General features: G+C 52.8%; 1 protein-coding gene across 2 annotated transcripts in view, besides 3 other annotated features; it reads left to right on the forward strand.

Moving 5' to 3' along the window:
* Positions 1-15,578, forward strand: part of RPTOR (regulatory associated protein of MTOR complex 1) — a 421,531-nt gene that overhangs the window by 353,673 nt on the left and 52,280 nt on the right. For both annotated transcript variants that reach the window (NM_020761.3, NM_001163034.2), the window contains one exon: positions 10,301-10,419. In NM_020761.3, coding sequence (NP_065812.1) covers positions 10,301-10,419 — 119 coding nt within the window. The remainder of the gene's footprint in view (positions 1-10,300; positions 10,420-15,578) is intronic.
* Positions 11,882-12,111: an enhancer, noted in NCBI's record as "active region_12949". NCBI's record gives its function as "activates an Ori minimal core promoter by ATAC-STARR-seq in GM12878 lymphoblastoid cells {active_cell/tissue: GM12878}" and the evidence as "EXISTENCE:reporter gene assay evidence [ECO:0000049][PMID:35858748]".
* Positions 12,232-12,421: an enhancer, noted in NCBI's record as "active region_12950". NCBI's record gives its function as "activates an Ori minimal core promoter by ATAC-STARR-seq in GM12878 lymphoblastoid cells {active_cell/tissue: GM12878}" and the evidence as "EXISTENCE:reporter gene assay evidence [ECO:0000049][PMID:35858748]".
* Positions 13,190-13,239: an enhancer, noted in NCBI's record as "active region_12951". NCBI's record gives its function as "activates an Ori minimal core promoter by ATAC-STARR-seq in GM12878 lymphoblastoid cells {active_cell/tissue: GM12878}" and the evidence as "EXISTENCE:reporter gene assay evidence [ECO:0000049][PMID:35858748]".

Consider the following 15,578-nt stretch of genomic DNA (forward strand, 5'->3'; position numbering starts at 1 on the left):
TTTTCTCTAGGTTCACTCTCTTGTCCTGTTACAGTTCTCAAACAGAAAATAAAAACAGCTCATTAACTTTGAGTTTTTCTTCCTTCCTAATGTGTGTGTTCAGGTCTGCGGGACCCCTGCCCCGGCTCCCCCAACCCCTGCCCCCGCTCCCCCCCCGCTCCCCCCACCCCCCGCCGCCCCGACTCCCCCCGCCCCGGCTCCCCCCGCACCTGCTCACCCAACCCCTGCTCACCCCGCCCCTGCTCACCCCGCCGTCTCCGTCTAGTGAGTTTTGATGATGGGCTTTTCACTTGTGTTCAGCTTCAAGCTTTCTTTCTACTTCCATTGTGGTTCCTGGGGATGGCGGTCCAGCCACAATGACAGCAGCGCATGACAGGAGCCCAAAGACCCGAAACAGACGCAGGGCATCCGCCAAGGCAGTTCCCACCGGGCAACCCTGTGGGTGTGCTCCCAGCCTTGGCCAGCTGCTGCCTTGAGCACCTCTGGATAGAACGAGTCCAGAGCTTGCACCATGCCCTCCAGGGTATGGAGAACTGAAAGGTTCACTACACAACAACCCAGACACGCCAGCTTAGCCCAGACACGCCAACTTGTTAATTTTCATTGAGAAATAACGTTGCAGCTTTGTGCATTTGGCTGTCCACTAAAATATGCCAAGTGCCCAGAAAGCGCAGAGTTGACTCCGTATATTCGAGTATAAATCAAGGTATTGCCAAGTCACCAATGAAATATATTCTAACGTCACTTGTAAGATGTTTGTTTTGAACTGGAATACACTTTTTAAATAGAATTAATGTTACATATAGTGGTTAGGTTTCCAGGCTAGCCTGCAAGAGTCTTTTAAAACCTGTCTGCAGAAATTCTACTTATAAATCTACAATGAAAAAAGGTATTTAAAAATTTTTTTTTAAGTACTAGAAAATGTAAATTCATAGTATTCTGTTTTGATTACACATTTCCCCTGGCCCCGGCCACAGCTCCTGTGAATAGCTCTCTAGCGCCTCCAGCAGGTTAGTGCCACCTCTGCCCCAGTTCACGCTCATCAAGGTCAAGGTGATAGCTCCCTTCCGTCACGTGTAGGTTAGAGCAGGAGTCTGCAAACTCTTCCTGTGAAAGAGCTTTGCAGGTGGGACTGCCCCTTGGCACTTCCCCAACACTGCCAGTGTGGTGCAAAAGTAGCCAGAGACCGCGTGTAGGTGAATGAACTTGGCCATGTTGCTATGTAACCGTGTGGACTGAAGTTTGAATTTTGCGTAACTTCACATCACAAAATATTGTTCCTTTGATTTTTTTTTCAACCACTTAAAAAGTATAAGAACCATACACAGGCCATAGAAAAACAAGGCTGAGTTCAGCTCAGAGAGCCTGACAGTAGGGCACACCCTGCCCGCACCCTGGCCTCCAAGGATACTCCTGTGAGTCAGAGGGCTTGGGATTCTCCCACGGATTGGACAGATATTTTGACAGTGCCCCCACTGTGCATGCTGGGGCACAAAAGTACAGAACAGGCAAACCCAATGCCACCTGTGTCGAAGCCAGTACCATCGGCTCTGGGCATCTCCCACCCCTCCCTGCAGAAGTGGGCGTCCTCCCTCTGCAGCCAAGGGGACCGGCGTTTACTCAGGTTGACTCCTGGCCAGGAGTCGGGGACTCCTCTTTGTGCCCCAACACATCCTTCTCTCAGCCGGGCATCTGTGGCCGTCTCCTCCCCGCCTCGCAGCCACCTGAGCCAGCAGCTCTGGCCTGGTGGTCGCAGCTCTCTCCCGGGTCTCCCTGCTTCCACTGTGGCCCTCCTGGGGCCGTGTGCTCACTGTGGCCTTCCTTTTTTTTCTGAGATGGAGTTTTCCTCTTGTCACTCCAGCTAGGGTTTAATGGCGCGATCTCTGCTCACTGCCTCCCGGGTTCAAGCAATTCTCCTGCCTCAGCCTCCCAAGTAGCTGGGATTACAGGCGCATGCCACCACACCTGGCTAATTTTGTACTTTTAGTAGAGACAAAGTTTCTCCAAGTTGGTCAGGCTGGTCTCGAACTTCCAACCTCGGGTGATCTGCGCGCCTCAGCCTCCCAAAGTGCTGGGATTACAGGCATGAGCCACTGTGCTCGACTGGCCTTCTTCTTTCACAGGAAGCGACAGCAGCATCACCCCTCGGTGCTCACCTGGTGACCGTCTGCCAAGGGCCTGGTGGCCCCGCCACCCTACCTGGCCCATGCTCCATGGGGTTCTCGGTTCACTCTCGTCCCTCCACTCACACGTATCTGGCCATCAAGTAAGAATCAAAATAAAAAGTTGCACCTGGCCTGCAAGTGTGCAGAACCGCACCTTTTGTTGATCCAGGAAGCTCAAGCCAGGCAGTGTGGCGCTGGGTCACCATGGCACCATTGAGAGCTTCCGTCTGCAGGTCCCCACGCCCACAGCACCTCCCTTTCCCCCTGGGCATTTGGATACCACATGGGCATCTCCCCTTCTGCTGGCGAAGGCTACAGAAAGTTCACAGCTGTGGAGTTTCCAGGTGGCTGAACTTGCTGAGGCTGCTGTTTGCTGTGCGCGTGCCATGCCTGAGGCCCTGGGTGCTGTCCACAGGCAAGAGGGACTGCGGAGGCCCCGCCCAACTCCTGTGTGAAACTTAGCTCTTGTCTGTGATGAGTGAATGCCGTTGTTATCCTCGGTACTGGTCTCGGTGGAGTACAGGGCGAAGAATCGCAGTTTCATTTGAGGGCCACCCAGACGGGAAGCACACAGCAGCCTGGGGCCCGGACACAGGGGCTTGGCCTCCATGAGTTTTCTCCTCTGCCGGTTCTTTCTTTTCTGTCTTCTCGAAGGAGCTGGACTCCCCATTCCACCATCCTTCTTATACAATGTGATTCCTGACTTTTTTTTTTTTACTGGAGAAAACTGAGTTTTATTCGTATATCATTCAAATCTTAGGAAATTTGACAGGAAAGAGTTTCACAATGAGCTGGAGTTTAGGAAGGAAAGAAAACAAAGTCGCCCCTGCAAAGCCAGCCTCATTCATATTCAGTGAGGTGTCACTCACACCACCTGGAAACCACCGTGCTTACCTAAGTGTTTAGAAGTCATAACTTACACAGAATCCCATTGTGCACAGCACTTCCCTGTTTCCAGCCAATTTCTTCTTTCATTTCAGCCAAAGAACAGCAATCTCTTTAGTCCTTTCAGTGAAGATTGCAGAGGCTTTCAGAACCATGGCAACCTGGAGAGTCCATGTCTCCCCATCTTTCCTGGTGCCCCAGAAGCCCTGCCCCAGCGCCTCCCCATCTTTCCTGGCCCCCCAGAAGCCCCGCCCCCAGCGCCCTCCCTGCTCTGCCTTCCCCAGAGCACTTGCATTCTTACACCCTCAGTCACGTGTTTCCTTTCTTCCCCGTGGCAATGAAGCCCCTTGGCTGGTACTTGGCTTCCTTTGATCGCTGATGGAGCCCAGGTTCCCCCAGCAGTGCCTGGCCCTGGTGGGGCAGGATAAATGTTTGTGAAACTAAATGGGAACCCAGGTCTCAGCACTGTGTCAGGTTCTAGAATCTTCTTTGATGTCTCCATCCTGCTTGTTTCTCACTCAGCCCTTCGTCTGGCCTGACATCCACAAGAATCCCCTACCTCAATCCCTCCTATTTCCAGTGCCCCCATCCCACCAGGCCTCGTTGCCCTGGGTCTTGCTCTCTGCAGACCACAACTGGGCAGGCCCTCTTTCACACCAGCTCCTCACCACCCTCCAGGTGAAGCCTTCGTTAAAACCGCATTTTCTGTAGAGGCCAAACCATTGTCTGACATTCAAGGCCTTCCTTCAGCCTCCTGCCCCCCGTCTCAGCAGCAGCCGCTCCACTGCACCTGCCCGCAGCACCCCTGGCTGGCCCCTGGCCCGGCCCCTCTGCCATCCGTGCAGCTCAGAGCCAGGTGGTCTTGCCGGGAGGTTGCCTGGCCCACCGCCAGGATCCCCATGTAGGTGCCTGACCCAGTACATCAAAGCATGATGTCGCCATTTTTACCACCACAGTCCTATAAAGTTGTTTCTTGCTAACGCATGGATGTGTGGACACAGGCCTCACCTGTCCCGGCCCCCAGCCCATGCGTCTGCCCTCTGCACTTATCTGTGTTCCTGACGGCCACAAGTGGCCGTGGAGCTGCTCAGGATGGAAGGATGGCTGGAGACGGTCTGTGGCCTGTGTCCACATGTCCCGGGACCCAGCCTGAGGTGCCCTCCTCACCCCCAGACACCCATGCATGTGGCCCCACACCATGTCACTCCCACGCTCATCCGTCCAGCCCCAGCTCCCAGCTAGAGTGCAGTCCCATGGGGGACCACGCTGCTGTGTGCTCCACCCGCCTTCCCTCCCGAAACCCTGCGTCTCGGCCAGAGTCCAAGCACACCCGTGCTGAGAGGCGAGGCGGGAGTTAATTCTGCTCGGGACTCTGGTGGCCTGAGAAGGCTCTTCCCGCAGAAACAGCCTCATCCCGAGAGCGCTGGCAGGAACGCAGATCAGAGGCCTGGGCTAGATGGGACCAGTTTTCACGACTCTGCTAGATACGGTGACATTTTTTACGGTTTTGAAAATGAGTTACCATAGAAATGGATCCAGGATGGACTAATGCAAGGGAGGGGAGGGCGAGAAAGGAACACAGCCCTGCGGAGCCTGGAGCCGGCCCTGGTGCAGCTGTGGCAAGCGCCCTGCTCACCCAGAGGAGGAGCTGGGGGCCCTGGCCAGCGGCAGAGCCAGAAGCCCCGCAGGCCGCCTGTGCTCTCCACACCTGAACACGGGATTCTGCGGGAGAGCTGGTGTCAAGTCCTGACCCCTCTACTTCGTTCCGAATCTGGGAGCCAGAACTACTGCCTTTGGAGGAAAGAGGAGCCCGGAGACCCGAGCCCAGAAACTGGGGCACTGCCCGGCTCCTGGGAGGCCACAGAACAGTGGCGGCCCCTGCACCCCAGGCCTGCCCAGGCCTCTCAGCCGCACACATTGCGGCCGGCTGCACTGCGGCATCATTGGTGTTCACAGGACGGGCCATAGCAACTGCTTCTCCCTTGGTTTATTTTTTAATGTTTCTTAAAGACGGGGTTTCGCTGTGTTGCCCAGGCTGGCCTCGAACTCTTGGGCTCAAGCAATCCTCCCACCTCACCTTCTTGGGTACCTAGAACTACAGTTTCCTTCCTTTTTTCCAAGGCATCGAGAAGCTGAAAGAGTCCTTACAAGCCCCGCGTGCAGCTCCAGAGACCCCCAGTAGTGAGTTCCGGCCAGGCCTCGAGGTCTGGGTTTCAGGGCAGAGAAGGTATTGGTTTCTGCCTTTGCAGAAAAAAAGCCTGGTGCTCGCTCAACCAAAAGAAAAGCTAGGCAGGGTTTTTGCCAAAGGAACTGTGTAGGTTTGGAAGGAAAAGGCTTCACAACCCAGAAACTGGAGTTACTCTTGTCAGAAGACGGTGGTGAGAAAATGAACAACAGTTTTCCAATGCTACAGGATTATGTTTTTAGGACAAAAGTCCTTAACTAAAGGCCATTATGATGTTTGTCTCGTAGGGGTACTGAATATGCTGAGAAAACGATGCAGACGCACCGCCCACCCGGCCCGGGAGGTGCTGCGTCTTCCCTGTGGGCAGCTGCAGGGCCCACGGCTCCGGCCGGCCCAGGAGGAGGGAGGGCGGAGCGGCTGGTCAGCGTGATTCTCGTAACAGCCACACCGAGTTGTGGGTGCAGCCCCTGAGGGGTCAGGAGGGGTCACAGGAAAGGGGCCGCTGCGGAAGCCCTCGGCCTGGGGCACTGGTTCCCCAGGATGGCAGAGGGTCTTGGCCATCACAGACTGGGTGAGCACATCAGAGGGCGTAACCCGCTCTGCCAACCCCTCAGCCTTGGGGTGGCGGCTGGCAGCTGTCACCTGCAGGAAGACTCTGTCTTCTCTGAACTGCTCCGACAGCCGGGGAGCTTCTGGGATTCAGAGTCAGCCAGAGCTCTGAGTAAATTTCCCCGCCGTGTATGCTATTTGGAAAGCTGTGGCCATTGGGCTCTGAACAATAACTTCTAAAACCATTCATTATGATCTTTTATTACTTTTAGTCTAGACATGAAAATAGGTTCTCCGTGCTTACAGGGAGTTCTGTGAGTGCCAGCAGGGGCCCTTTCTAAGCTCAACATCCCCGGTCCCTGACTCCCTGCCGGGCAGGACCCAGGCAGCCCCACCTCCTTCCTGGTGGACTCGAATCCGATGGGAAGTTCTCTGCGGTCTGTTTTGGGGACTGGCAGATTTTACAACAGGACAGTTCATACAACGGAGCCTGAGAGAAGATTGTGGCCAAACCAGGGAAAGACGTGAAATAAAGACAGCAGTTCCGTGATCACAGCGTCATACTTTTTACTAGTACATAGTTATAAAATCCACTGTCACTAAAAAGACTGGCAAAAATTAGATTTTTTTTTCCCCTGTTGAGTCGCAAACAGTATTTCGACTTTGATATAAGTGGAAGTCTGCACGAAGGTCGACAACAATAGCGTTGGCCCTCGGTACGCGTGGGGGACTCAAGGGCCCAGGGCCCACGACGCTCAGTCCTGCTAGGAAAGGCGTGACAGCTGTGCATCCCCCACACACATCCCCCATCGTGCTTGCATCTTCTCTAGTTTCCTTATAATGCCAAACCCAGCACAGTGTGTCAACAGTGGTTATGCTCTCTTGTTTTTTTTTTTATGTGTATTACTTTTTGTTTTGTTTTCAAATATTTTCGATCTGCGGTTGGTTGAATCCATGGATGTAGAGGGCCAACTGTAATAAAAATCTGTTTTTAAAAATTAGATGAAAGTGGCCAGGCGCAGTGGCGCATGCCGGTAATCCCAGCACTTTGGGAGGCCAAGGCAGGTGGATCACGAGGTCAGGAGATCAAGACCATCCTGCCTAACACGGTGAAACCCGTCTCTACTAAAAATACAAAAAAAAAAAAAAAAATTAGCTGGGCGTGGTGGTGGGCACCTGTAGTCCCAGCTCCTCAGGAGGCTAAGGCAGGAGAATGGCATGAACCCAGGAGGCAGAGCTTGCAGTGAGCCGGGATCGCGCTGCTGCACTCCAGCCTGGGCGACAGAGCGAGACTCTGTCTCAAAAAAAAAAAAAAAAAGTTAGATGAAAGTAGCAGCTAATACATCTCACACACACCCCCACCCCGCCCTGCACATTGCCAGGGTCCTTACCTGGAGTGTCCTGTGGAGCCCTGACCTAGACCCCGGGTGTCCGCGTCTGTGGCCCCCACATTGTGGGTGAGGCTTGAGCAGCCACCAGCCTGCACCCTCCTCGCAGTCTGCCAGGGCCGCCGGGAGTGGGGGGCCTCCTGCCGTGCCTGCCCTGGGTTCCGGGCTTGCCCAGTGCCCTATTCTTCACAGTGGCCTGGTCCTCACCCCCGGGTCTTGTGAGGAGGGTTCTCATATAAGGCCAGCTGCCCCTCACAGCCCCTTCACGGGGCAGTCGAGCCTCGTGGGGAGCTGCTTCAATGCCTCACTCAGCTGTGGGGAGCCCAGGACCCCAGAATAATCAAGGGGAGTGGGTCTCAGGTGGGCAGTCATCAACGGGCATCTTACGGGGCCATCCTGTCACCCATGTTAGAGAGTGTCGTGGAGCTAGGCGGTAGCGAACTTCGCCAGTGAGGCCGCATCTCCTCCTCACCAGGGCCTGTCGCGGGAGGGAATTCAAAGCCAAATCTCCTAGCCCACCCACCCACTCTAAAAAAAAAAAATGAGGACGCAGCCATCGCCGATGTCCTTGTGTTGCACGGAGCAGTTCCTAGGAGCCGGCTCCGCTGGGGTAGAGGAGACTCTAGGGATGTTCCTACAGTCTGGACCGATTTTACATTTCCGAGACTTGCTTGTGGATCTACACGGCTATCGCAGAGCTGTGCAATCTGAGAGCTGGAAGGCTTCGGTTCTGTCCCAGTACACGCGGTGCAGGACCACGGTTGAGCAGAAGGTGCATCTGCGTGGCACCGTGGCGCTGAAGTCCAGGTGTGCTTGGGCCCTAGGCTCCCAAGACGTTCCCACTGCCTCCTCCTGGGCACAAGGCTCAAGCACAGGGACCGCCGGCCAGGCACACATGTGTATGGGCAAGACCCGCAGGGGACGTGTCCCTGGGAAGAATGCTTCCTTTGGTTGAAGGCTGTAAACTCGCCCTGTGAGGTGAGACATGTCAGCTCCCAGAAAAGGTCCCAGCCTCTCATGATTCACGCCAGCACAGGCAGCACAGCAGCAGAGCGTGACCTCCTAGATGGCAGCGTGACCTCCTAGATGGCAGCGTGACCTCCTAGATGGCAGCTGAGCTCAATTCCACACGGCTCAGTCCTGGAGACAATCACTCACTGCAACACGCATTCCTCATGGGGGCCTCTTCAGGAGCCACGGGCATGGGGCTTCCCTGACCTCTGCACTCACGGTGGGGGCGCGCACAGCAGGGGTAGACACTGGCCCGCCATATCTGGAGCTGAAGTAGAGCCCGTCTTGGGCTCGCTTAGCGGAGACCATAGGTGGAGGTGAGCCAGTGGCCTCAGGCATCTGCAGAACCCACGCACACATTGACTTTCGCACCCGCCTCCATCTCCGTGGACTTGACTGTGTCGTGCAAAACCCACTCCACGTGCGCAGCTGTGTTCCTGCAGTGACACGAGGCCCTCCACTGGCTTTCGATGCTTCAGCTCTTTCACCAACAATCAGGTGGACTGGAATCACACCTCACTCGAAACCCTTTGAATCTCTATTTAGTGAACAAGCACTTGCTTCTCAGCAAATTGTCTAGCTTCCCCAAAAATAAAGAAGATGGAGTTCTGTGTGGCTGGATCCCTTTTCAGCTCCCAGCACTGAGGGCAGGGCCCTGTCTGCCTCCGCCTCTGGGTTGAAGCCTGGCAGTAAACTGGCACTCCTGGTGCCCGCAGGCAGGGGAGGCAGCGCCTGGCCCCGCTCTGCCCTCCACGCTCAGCGCCTCTGGTCCTCGGCCCAGCCCTTGCTGGACATGCAGCCTCTACCAGGATTGCTGCTTCCCTTCTCGGCCTCTCTGGGTCCAGCGTGGCGTGGACAACAGTTCGGCAATGCCTGCTCCATCAGCCTCCTCCCTGGCCTCAGCCAATGCTGACTGTGCCAGGAGCCCACATAGCCCGTGCCTGCCCCCCCTTCTGGTTTCCAAGTGCTCACAGCCTCCACCCCACAATCTCTGATTGGCTCCTGCAGGCTTCCGTCAGGTATCCCCCAAGGCTCCGCGTCCCCATCACCTCCGTGTTTTATTGTTCAATGTCTTAGATCTTGTTTGTGCTACCCCCTCTCGCTCCACCCCTCCTTTGCCCAGAGAATGATCCTCCTTCCCTTCAAAGCCCAGCTCCTTCGTGCCTCTTCCACCAGGCCTTCCTGGCCTTCACTTCCTAGCCCACTGCTGACAGAAGGAGTCACTCTCGCTCCTTCCTGCATCTCCCTGAGGCCGCACGCTGTCGTGGACGTAGCATGGCTCAAAGGTTTGATGGGTGTGCGTTCACATCCTTCATCCTCTGGGCCTCACCTTCCTTGGCGACGCTGGGGGTAACACCTGCCTGTAGGATTGCTGGGGAATTAAATAGGACCGAGCAGCCGCACCGACGAATCCTCACCGACGAAGCCTCAGCGCTTCCCTCCATGCCCACGACTCACCAGTGTTATTTATAAATGAGTCTGAGTCCCTGCTGGGTCCTGCCTTGTCTGTCTTTGTATCCGAGTATGCAGCACAGAACCTTGCATTGAGTGTTGGGTGAGTCGGGAGAGGCTTAGGGACAAAAGTCACAGCACATCAACCTTTCGTGAAGTCCTAGCATCTCAGAGCAGGGCCAGTGCCTGGAGGTGGACAGGAAGCACGTGGAGGTGGGCAGGAAGCACTCCCTGGGTCACAGTGCACAGCAGCACGTGCTGAACTTGGTGCAGTGCAGACGTCCATGCCACATGCACCACTACCCATGGGCTGCGGCAGCTCCTAGAAATCTAGGATGTGACATCAGACGCTCCTCCGGGAGTGTGGTCATGCCCTCCGATCCGCTGAGGCATTTCAAGGAAAGTTACACCCTTTCCAACGCAGTTTTCCTTTTAGAAAGATTTGGCCTCAGTAGATGAATCCATGTGATCAAGCCTAGTGATCAGCTAGGATTCTTGAATCTCGGGACCCGTTGCCAGAATAACAAAATGGGGGCTTCCTGTAACCTCGGCTCTTTAAAGCAACACTTCTGATACCAGGGTTAGGGTTTCAGAAAATGCAGCCGCCTTAGGAGCCTCATTGGCAGCTACTTTCCACTAAAACATCTTCCATTTCTCTCTCTCAGGAGTTTCCTTTAACAGTGTTTACACTCAGATTTGGAGAGTCCTGCTGCACCTGGCTGCTGACCCCTATCCAGAGGTCTCGGACGTGGCCATGAAAGTACTCAACAGCATCGCCTACAAGGTACGTGCCGGGCGCTCCCCACCGCGCTCCAGCTGCTGGTTCTCGGTTACGAGTATGCATGCCAGGAACTCCAGGTGTGCCCGGGTCCACACCACAGTTTAGAAAGTAACAAAACGAGCTTCAGCAAATATCTTAAATCTGGAGATGTACACAGTACACCCCAAACTGTGTCTGTGCAGCTCCCACGTGGGCAGAGGGTGCTGGATTTACTGATGCCTGTCAAGGCAATTAGGGGAGGACTGACATTATCTTTCAGGATCCTCTGGTGTCTGGGTGAGCTACAGTGCTGGCCCTTCTTCCATTTTTTTTTTCTTTCTTTACTTAATTATTTATAAGAGATGGGGTCTCCCTGTGTTGCCCAGGCTGGTCTTGAACTCCTGGGCTCAAGGGATCCTCCTGCCTCAGCCTCCCAAAGTGCTGGGATTACAAGCGTGAGCCACTGCACCTGTTTTTTGTTTTTGTAAGACAGTCTCACTCTGTCCAGACTAGAATGCAGTGACCTGATCACGGCTCACTGTAGCCTCCAACTCCTGGGCTCAAGCAATCCTCCCACCTCAGCCTTGGAAGTAGCTGGGACTACAGGTGCACACCACCACACCCGGCTAATTTTTAAATTTTTTGTAGAGACAGAGTCTCAGTGTGTCGCCCAAGCTGGTCTCTAACTCCTCAGTTCAAGTGATCCTCCTGCCTTGGCCTCCTGAAGTGCTGGGATTACAGGCATGAGCCACCACACCCAGACTTTTCTTCCCTTTCTGATAGCAGTAATTTTTGACTCATTCAAAACCCTTCTAGTTAATGGTTTCTTATTCATGGCCATTCTAGCTCAAGGGAACTTTTCAAAGAATCAGTTTTTGGTTTCATTGGTTTTTCTCTGTTGTTTGTCCATTTTCCATTTGATTGATTGAGCTTTCATCAATAAAGCTTGCTTTCTTCTGCTTACTTTGAGTTTAATTTGCTCTTCTCATCCTAGTTTCTTAAGGTAGAAGCAGAGGTCATTGATTTTAGTCCTTTCTCTTTGGGGACTGTAAACTCTTCTCAGTCCCTTTTGTGAGCTCTGGGCATTTGGCCTACCGCCTTCCCGCTGTTTTTTCTCTGCCTCATGGGTTGTCACTCTACCCTTGAGCAGATGAATACTTAGTCAAAGACCCCAGGGGCCTCTCCTGCAGACCTTGGAAGCTTTCCCCTCTCCAGTGCTCTGTCCTGCAAATTGTCACCACCTCAGCCTCCCTGGAGCCCCAGTCTCTGTCTCCTGTTCCCTGAAAGTGCTGGGCTCCCCGTCTCTGCACTGTGGCCTGGGACTGCCTGAAACTACCTGCAAGCCGGACACAGGGCAGCTGTTTATTTCCGTTCTCTCAGGGATCACAAGCCCGTGACACCCAGCACCCAGTGTCCAAAAACAATTGTTTACGGTATTTGTCCTGGTTTTCTAGTTGCTTATGGAAGTTGGATGATTTATGTGGAATTAGAAGTCACTCATTATAGCACTTAAAAATTTTTTGGTAACTTTTTGATAAAACTTCAAAAGCTTACAGAAATGTTGCAGGAAGAATGCAGGGAAAGGCCACACTCTTGCAGCCTCTGTGGTGTTCTACGTCTTCATCTGACCTCGTCACGGCTATGGCGTTGCCTCGGGTATCACTCAGTGCCAGGGTCTGCAGGGTCGAGGAGCCACGGCTTCCCATCCTAGTCCATCGCTTTTTCCAAATGAGCTATCGAGTCTCCCCCTCTCATTTGCTGTGGCCTTCTGGGTCCTGGCCGGCCATCGAGCCAGGGTTCCTGCAGCTCCTCAGCTCCTTTTGCTGATATTATACTTCTGTGGCTTTCGGTTCCTTCAACTAAGTTATTTTCTGTTGGTCTAGTTATATCTTAGATGGAAATCACCTTACCGTCTGCAGTTGGTTCTTCTTCAGTTCTTTTTTTTTTTTTTTCTCTTGCTCTGTTGCCAGGCTGGAGTGCAGTGGCACAATCTCAGCTCACTGCAGCCTCCGCCTCCCAGGTTCAAGCAGTTCTGCTGCCTCAGCCTCCCAAGTAGCTGGGACTACAGGCGTGAGCCACCACACCCGGCTAATTTTTGTATTTTTAGGAGAGACGAGGGGTTTCACCGTGTTGGCCAGGATGGTCTCGGTCTCTTGACCTCGTGATCCGCCTGCCTCGGCCTCCCAAAGTGCTGGGATTACAGGCGTGAGCCACTGCGCCTGGCCTGTTCTTTATGGTATCACCGGTATAGTCACAAGTAGCCTATTGGCCAACTTGGAAAGGTCCAGATTGTTTAATTCTGCACCGGCCTCCCCTCCTGCAGCGGACTCTGCCACTTCCTTCGTCACCGCATCCCTGCAGCGGATTCTGCCACCTCCTTCGTCACCGTGTGGTGTGGCCAGCTGCACGGGCACCTGGAGACGTTCATCCCCAGGCAGCAGGCCATCTCCTCAGGTTTCTTTTATGTGCTACTGGCCTGTTGAAAATAGCCAGTCAATTAAGTTAATGTTTTCATTATGCGGTAAGAAAACTAAGAAATAATATAATTATTTGCTTTTAAACTAGGAATAAGATAAATACAAAAATAAACCTCAGGCTGGGTGTGGTGGCTCACACCTGTAATCCCAGCACTTTGGGAGGCCAAGGCGAGAGACGATCACTTGAGCCCAGGTGTTTTGAGACCAGCCTGGGAAACATAGTGAAACCCCGTCTCTACAAAATAGTAGCAAGTTAGCCGGGCACGGTGGCAAGCACTTGTGGTCGCAGCTACCCAGGAGGATGAGGCTGGAAGATCCCTTGAGCCCAGGAGCTCAAGGCTGCAGTGAGCTATGATTGTGCCACTGCACTTCATCCTGGGCGGCAGAGTGAGACCGTGTCTTTTAAAATAATGTTTAAAAATATATGTTTGTTACACATTATGGTCTGAGACCAAGAAGGGGAGGCAGTAAAGCAGACAGGAAGGAAATAAGGAAGAAAAGAAAGTCATAAGACTGCACAAACACCCCTGAGGAAACCACCCACGGAGGCCCCAGACCAGAGCAACCGGTCCCGAGGCCTCTCAGATGAGCTGACGCTCTGGAGGATTGGGACTGAAACCGTCACATCTGCCTGCTACGGATTAGGGAAAATCAGTTCTTACCACTTACCACTGCCCTTTTAGACTCTAAATAGCCTCTACCACTTTTAGTTTAAGATTTCAAGGTTGGGTTTTAAATAGCCGTTTTCACTAAAATAGTTGTAAAAGCTTTTTACGAACATTAATAAATGGTTTAAGTTTTTAGAATTGATGGCCAGTTCGCGTCTCTGCTGGCAGTTCTCTGACACACAGGAGTGTCTGGTGGCCTCTTCTTTTCTCTTGGAGGCACAGGATGGCTGTGGCCATGGACCACCCTTGCTCTGTCCTGACTGCACAGTTGGAGGCCAGCGCTATTTAGGAGGTTTGATCGTTTTCCCCCAATTAATTTAGCTTCTTGGGTATTTTGATCATGATGAAATCAGTATTCAGCCTATTTAAGTTTATTTTTCAGTGGCTTTTGTGTATTTAACCTTACTGAAAAATTAGCCTGAATTATTTTAAACTGTAATCCGAGTGCCTAATCTTGAAATATAAGGACTATTAAGTGCGTTCCTGTGGACCTGGCCTCCAGTTGTTAAATAGCTCCTCTTGGGAAGCTCTCGAGCCTGTGTAGCACAGAAGCCACTGCTCTCTGCTCTTCAGCAAACGTCCCAGCACAGCCTCCACAGCCCAGCGCCCTTTTGGATTGTGTGTGACATGTAGTGTAGCTGGACGGCCCGCCCCCCTCTCCCACCACGGTAAGGCAGTTAAGCACCTGCGTCTGCCTTTCATGTTAGCAGGTTATAGCAACTCGAACACACGGCTTTGTCGTGCTATCCGATTGAGACCCAGAAACCGCCATAAAAGTGGCATTTGCCTTCTGTGCCTGCTTTGCCGTTCTAGAATGACACAGAGACCTTAAGGCACATGGCCATCACTCCAGCAGACATGCCACAGCCAGAGGGGTGGAGAAGGTCAAGAGAAGGCCTCTGCTAGAGACCTTGCTATGCATAGCACAATGCAGCATGAGCTTGTGTGTGTGTGTCTGTGTGCGTGTGTGTGCACGCGTGTGTGTGTGTCTGAGTGTATATGTGTGTGGGTTTAAGAGTAAACATTGCTACTAAAGCATTTGGAAGCATAAATCTTTCTTGTCTTCATTTTAATTTCAAGAAATGCCTTATTTTCCTGCTCTAGGAACTGAAGGGATTACATTTCATTTTACAGAGAAACGAGCCTATTTTAGATATTTAACTCTGAAGCCAAATTTTTGTTCATCAGAGTCTAAAACAGCCTTATTACTATGGAATGCCCTGTAGAATTCTATATTCAAATACAGAAATTGCCACCAGCTCTGTATGAGAGAACCCACACAGCTCCAGAGCTGTGGTCTGATTTCATGTATTTATAATATATTTCGATTCCCATTCCATGGGCTTGGGGTTTTCATTTTGCTTTTAGCTCCCTTTTCTCTTGGTTTAGTTTTGGGGGTGTTGTTTGTTTGTTTTGTTTTGAGACAGGGTCTCACTCTATCACCCAGGCTGGAGTTCAGTGATCCAGTCACGGCTCACTGCAGCCTCGACCTCCTGGGCTCAAGCGATCCTCCCACCTCAGCCTCCCAAGTAGCTGGGACTACAGGGGCGCACCACCATGCCTAGCTAATTTTCGTATTTTTTGTAGAGATGGGGTTTCACCATGTTGCCCAGGCTGGTCTCAAACTCCTAGGCTCAAGTGATTCACCCACATTTCCCTCCCAAAATGCCAGGATTACAGGCATGAGCCACTGCACCTGGCCTGCTTTTAGGTTTTTTTAAGGAAAATTTCAGACTATGTAGAAGTAGAAAGAAGAGACTGATGCCCCTCAGGAGCCTGCCTGTGGCCCCAGCAGTTCTCACCTCAGTGGTTTTAGGACAATGCCAAGAAAGAACCTTCAAGCCACAGGTGGTCACCTGTCAGGGCACATGTTCTCATGATCACTGCTTATATTATAATTTATGAGAAAACGTGTGAGCATAAATGCACAAACTCACCTAGAAGCACCGCTGCAGCCTCTTGATACTGTGAAGAGTGTGTGTGCATGTGCGCTGGCCGCTGCCTCTGTTGCAGGACTCATGCATGCAGACGGAGATGA

This window comes from Homo sapiens, chromosome 17, assembly GCF_000001405.40.
Source record: "Homo sapiens chromosome 17, GRCh38.p14 Primary Assembly".
Classification (NCBI taxonomy): Eukaryota; Metazoa; Chordata; class Mammalia; order Primates; family Hominidae; genus Homo; species Homo sapiens.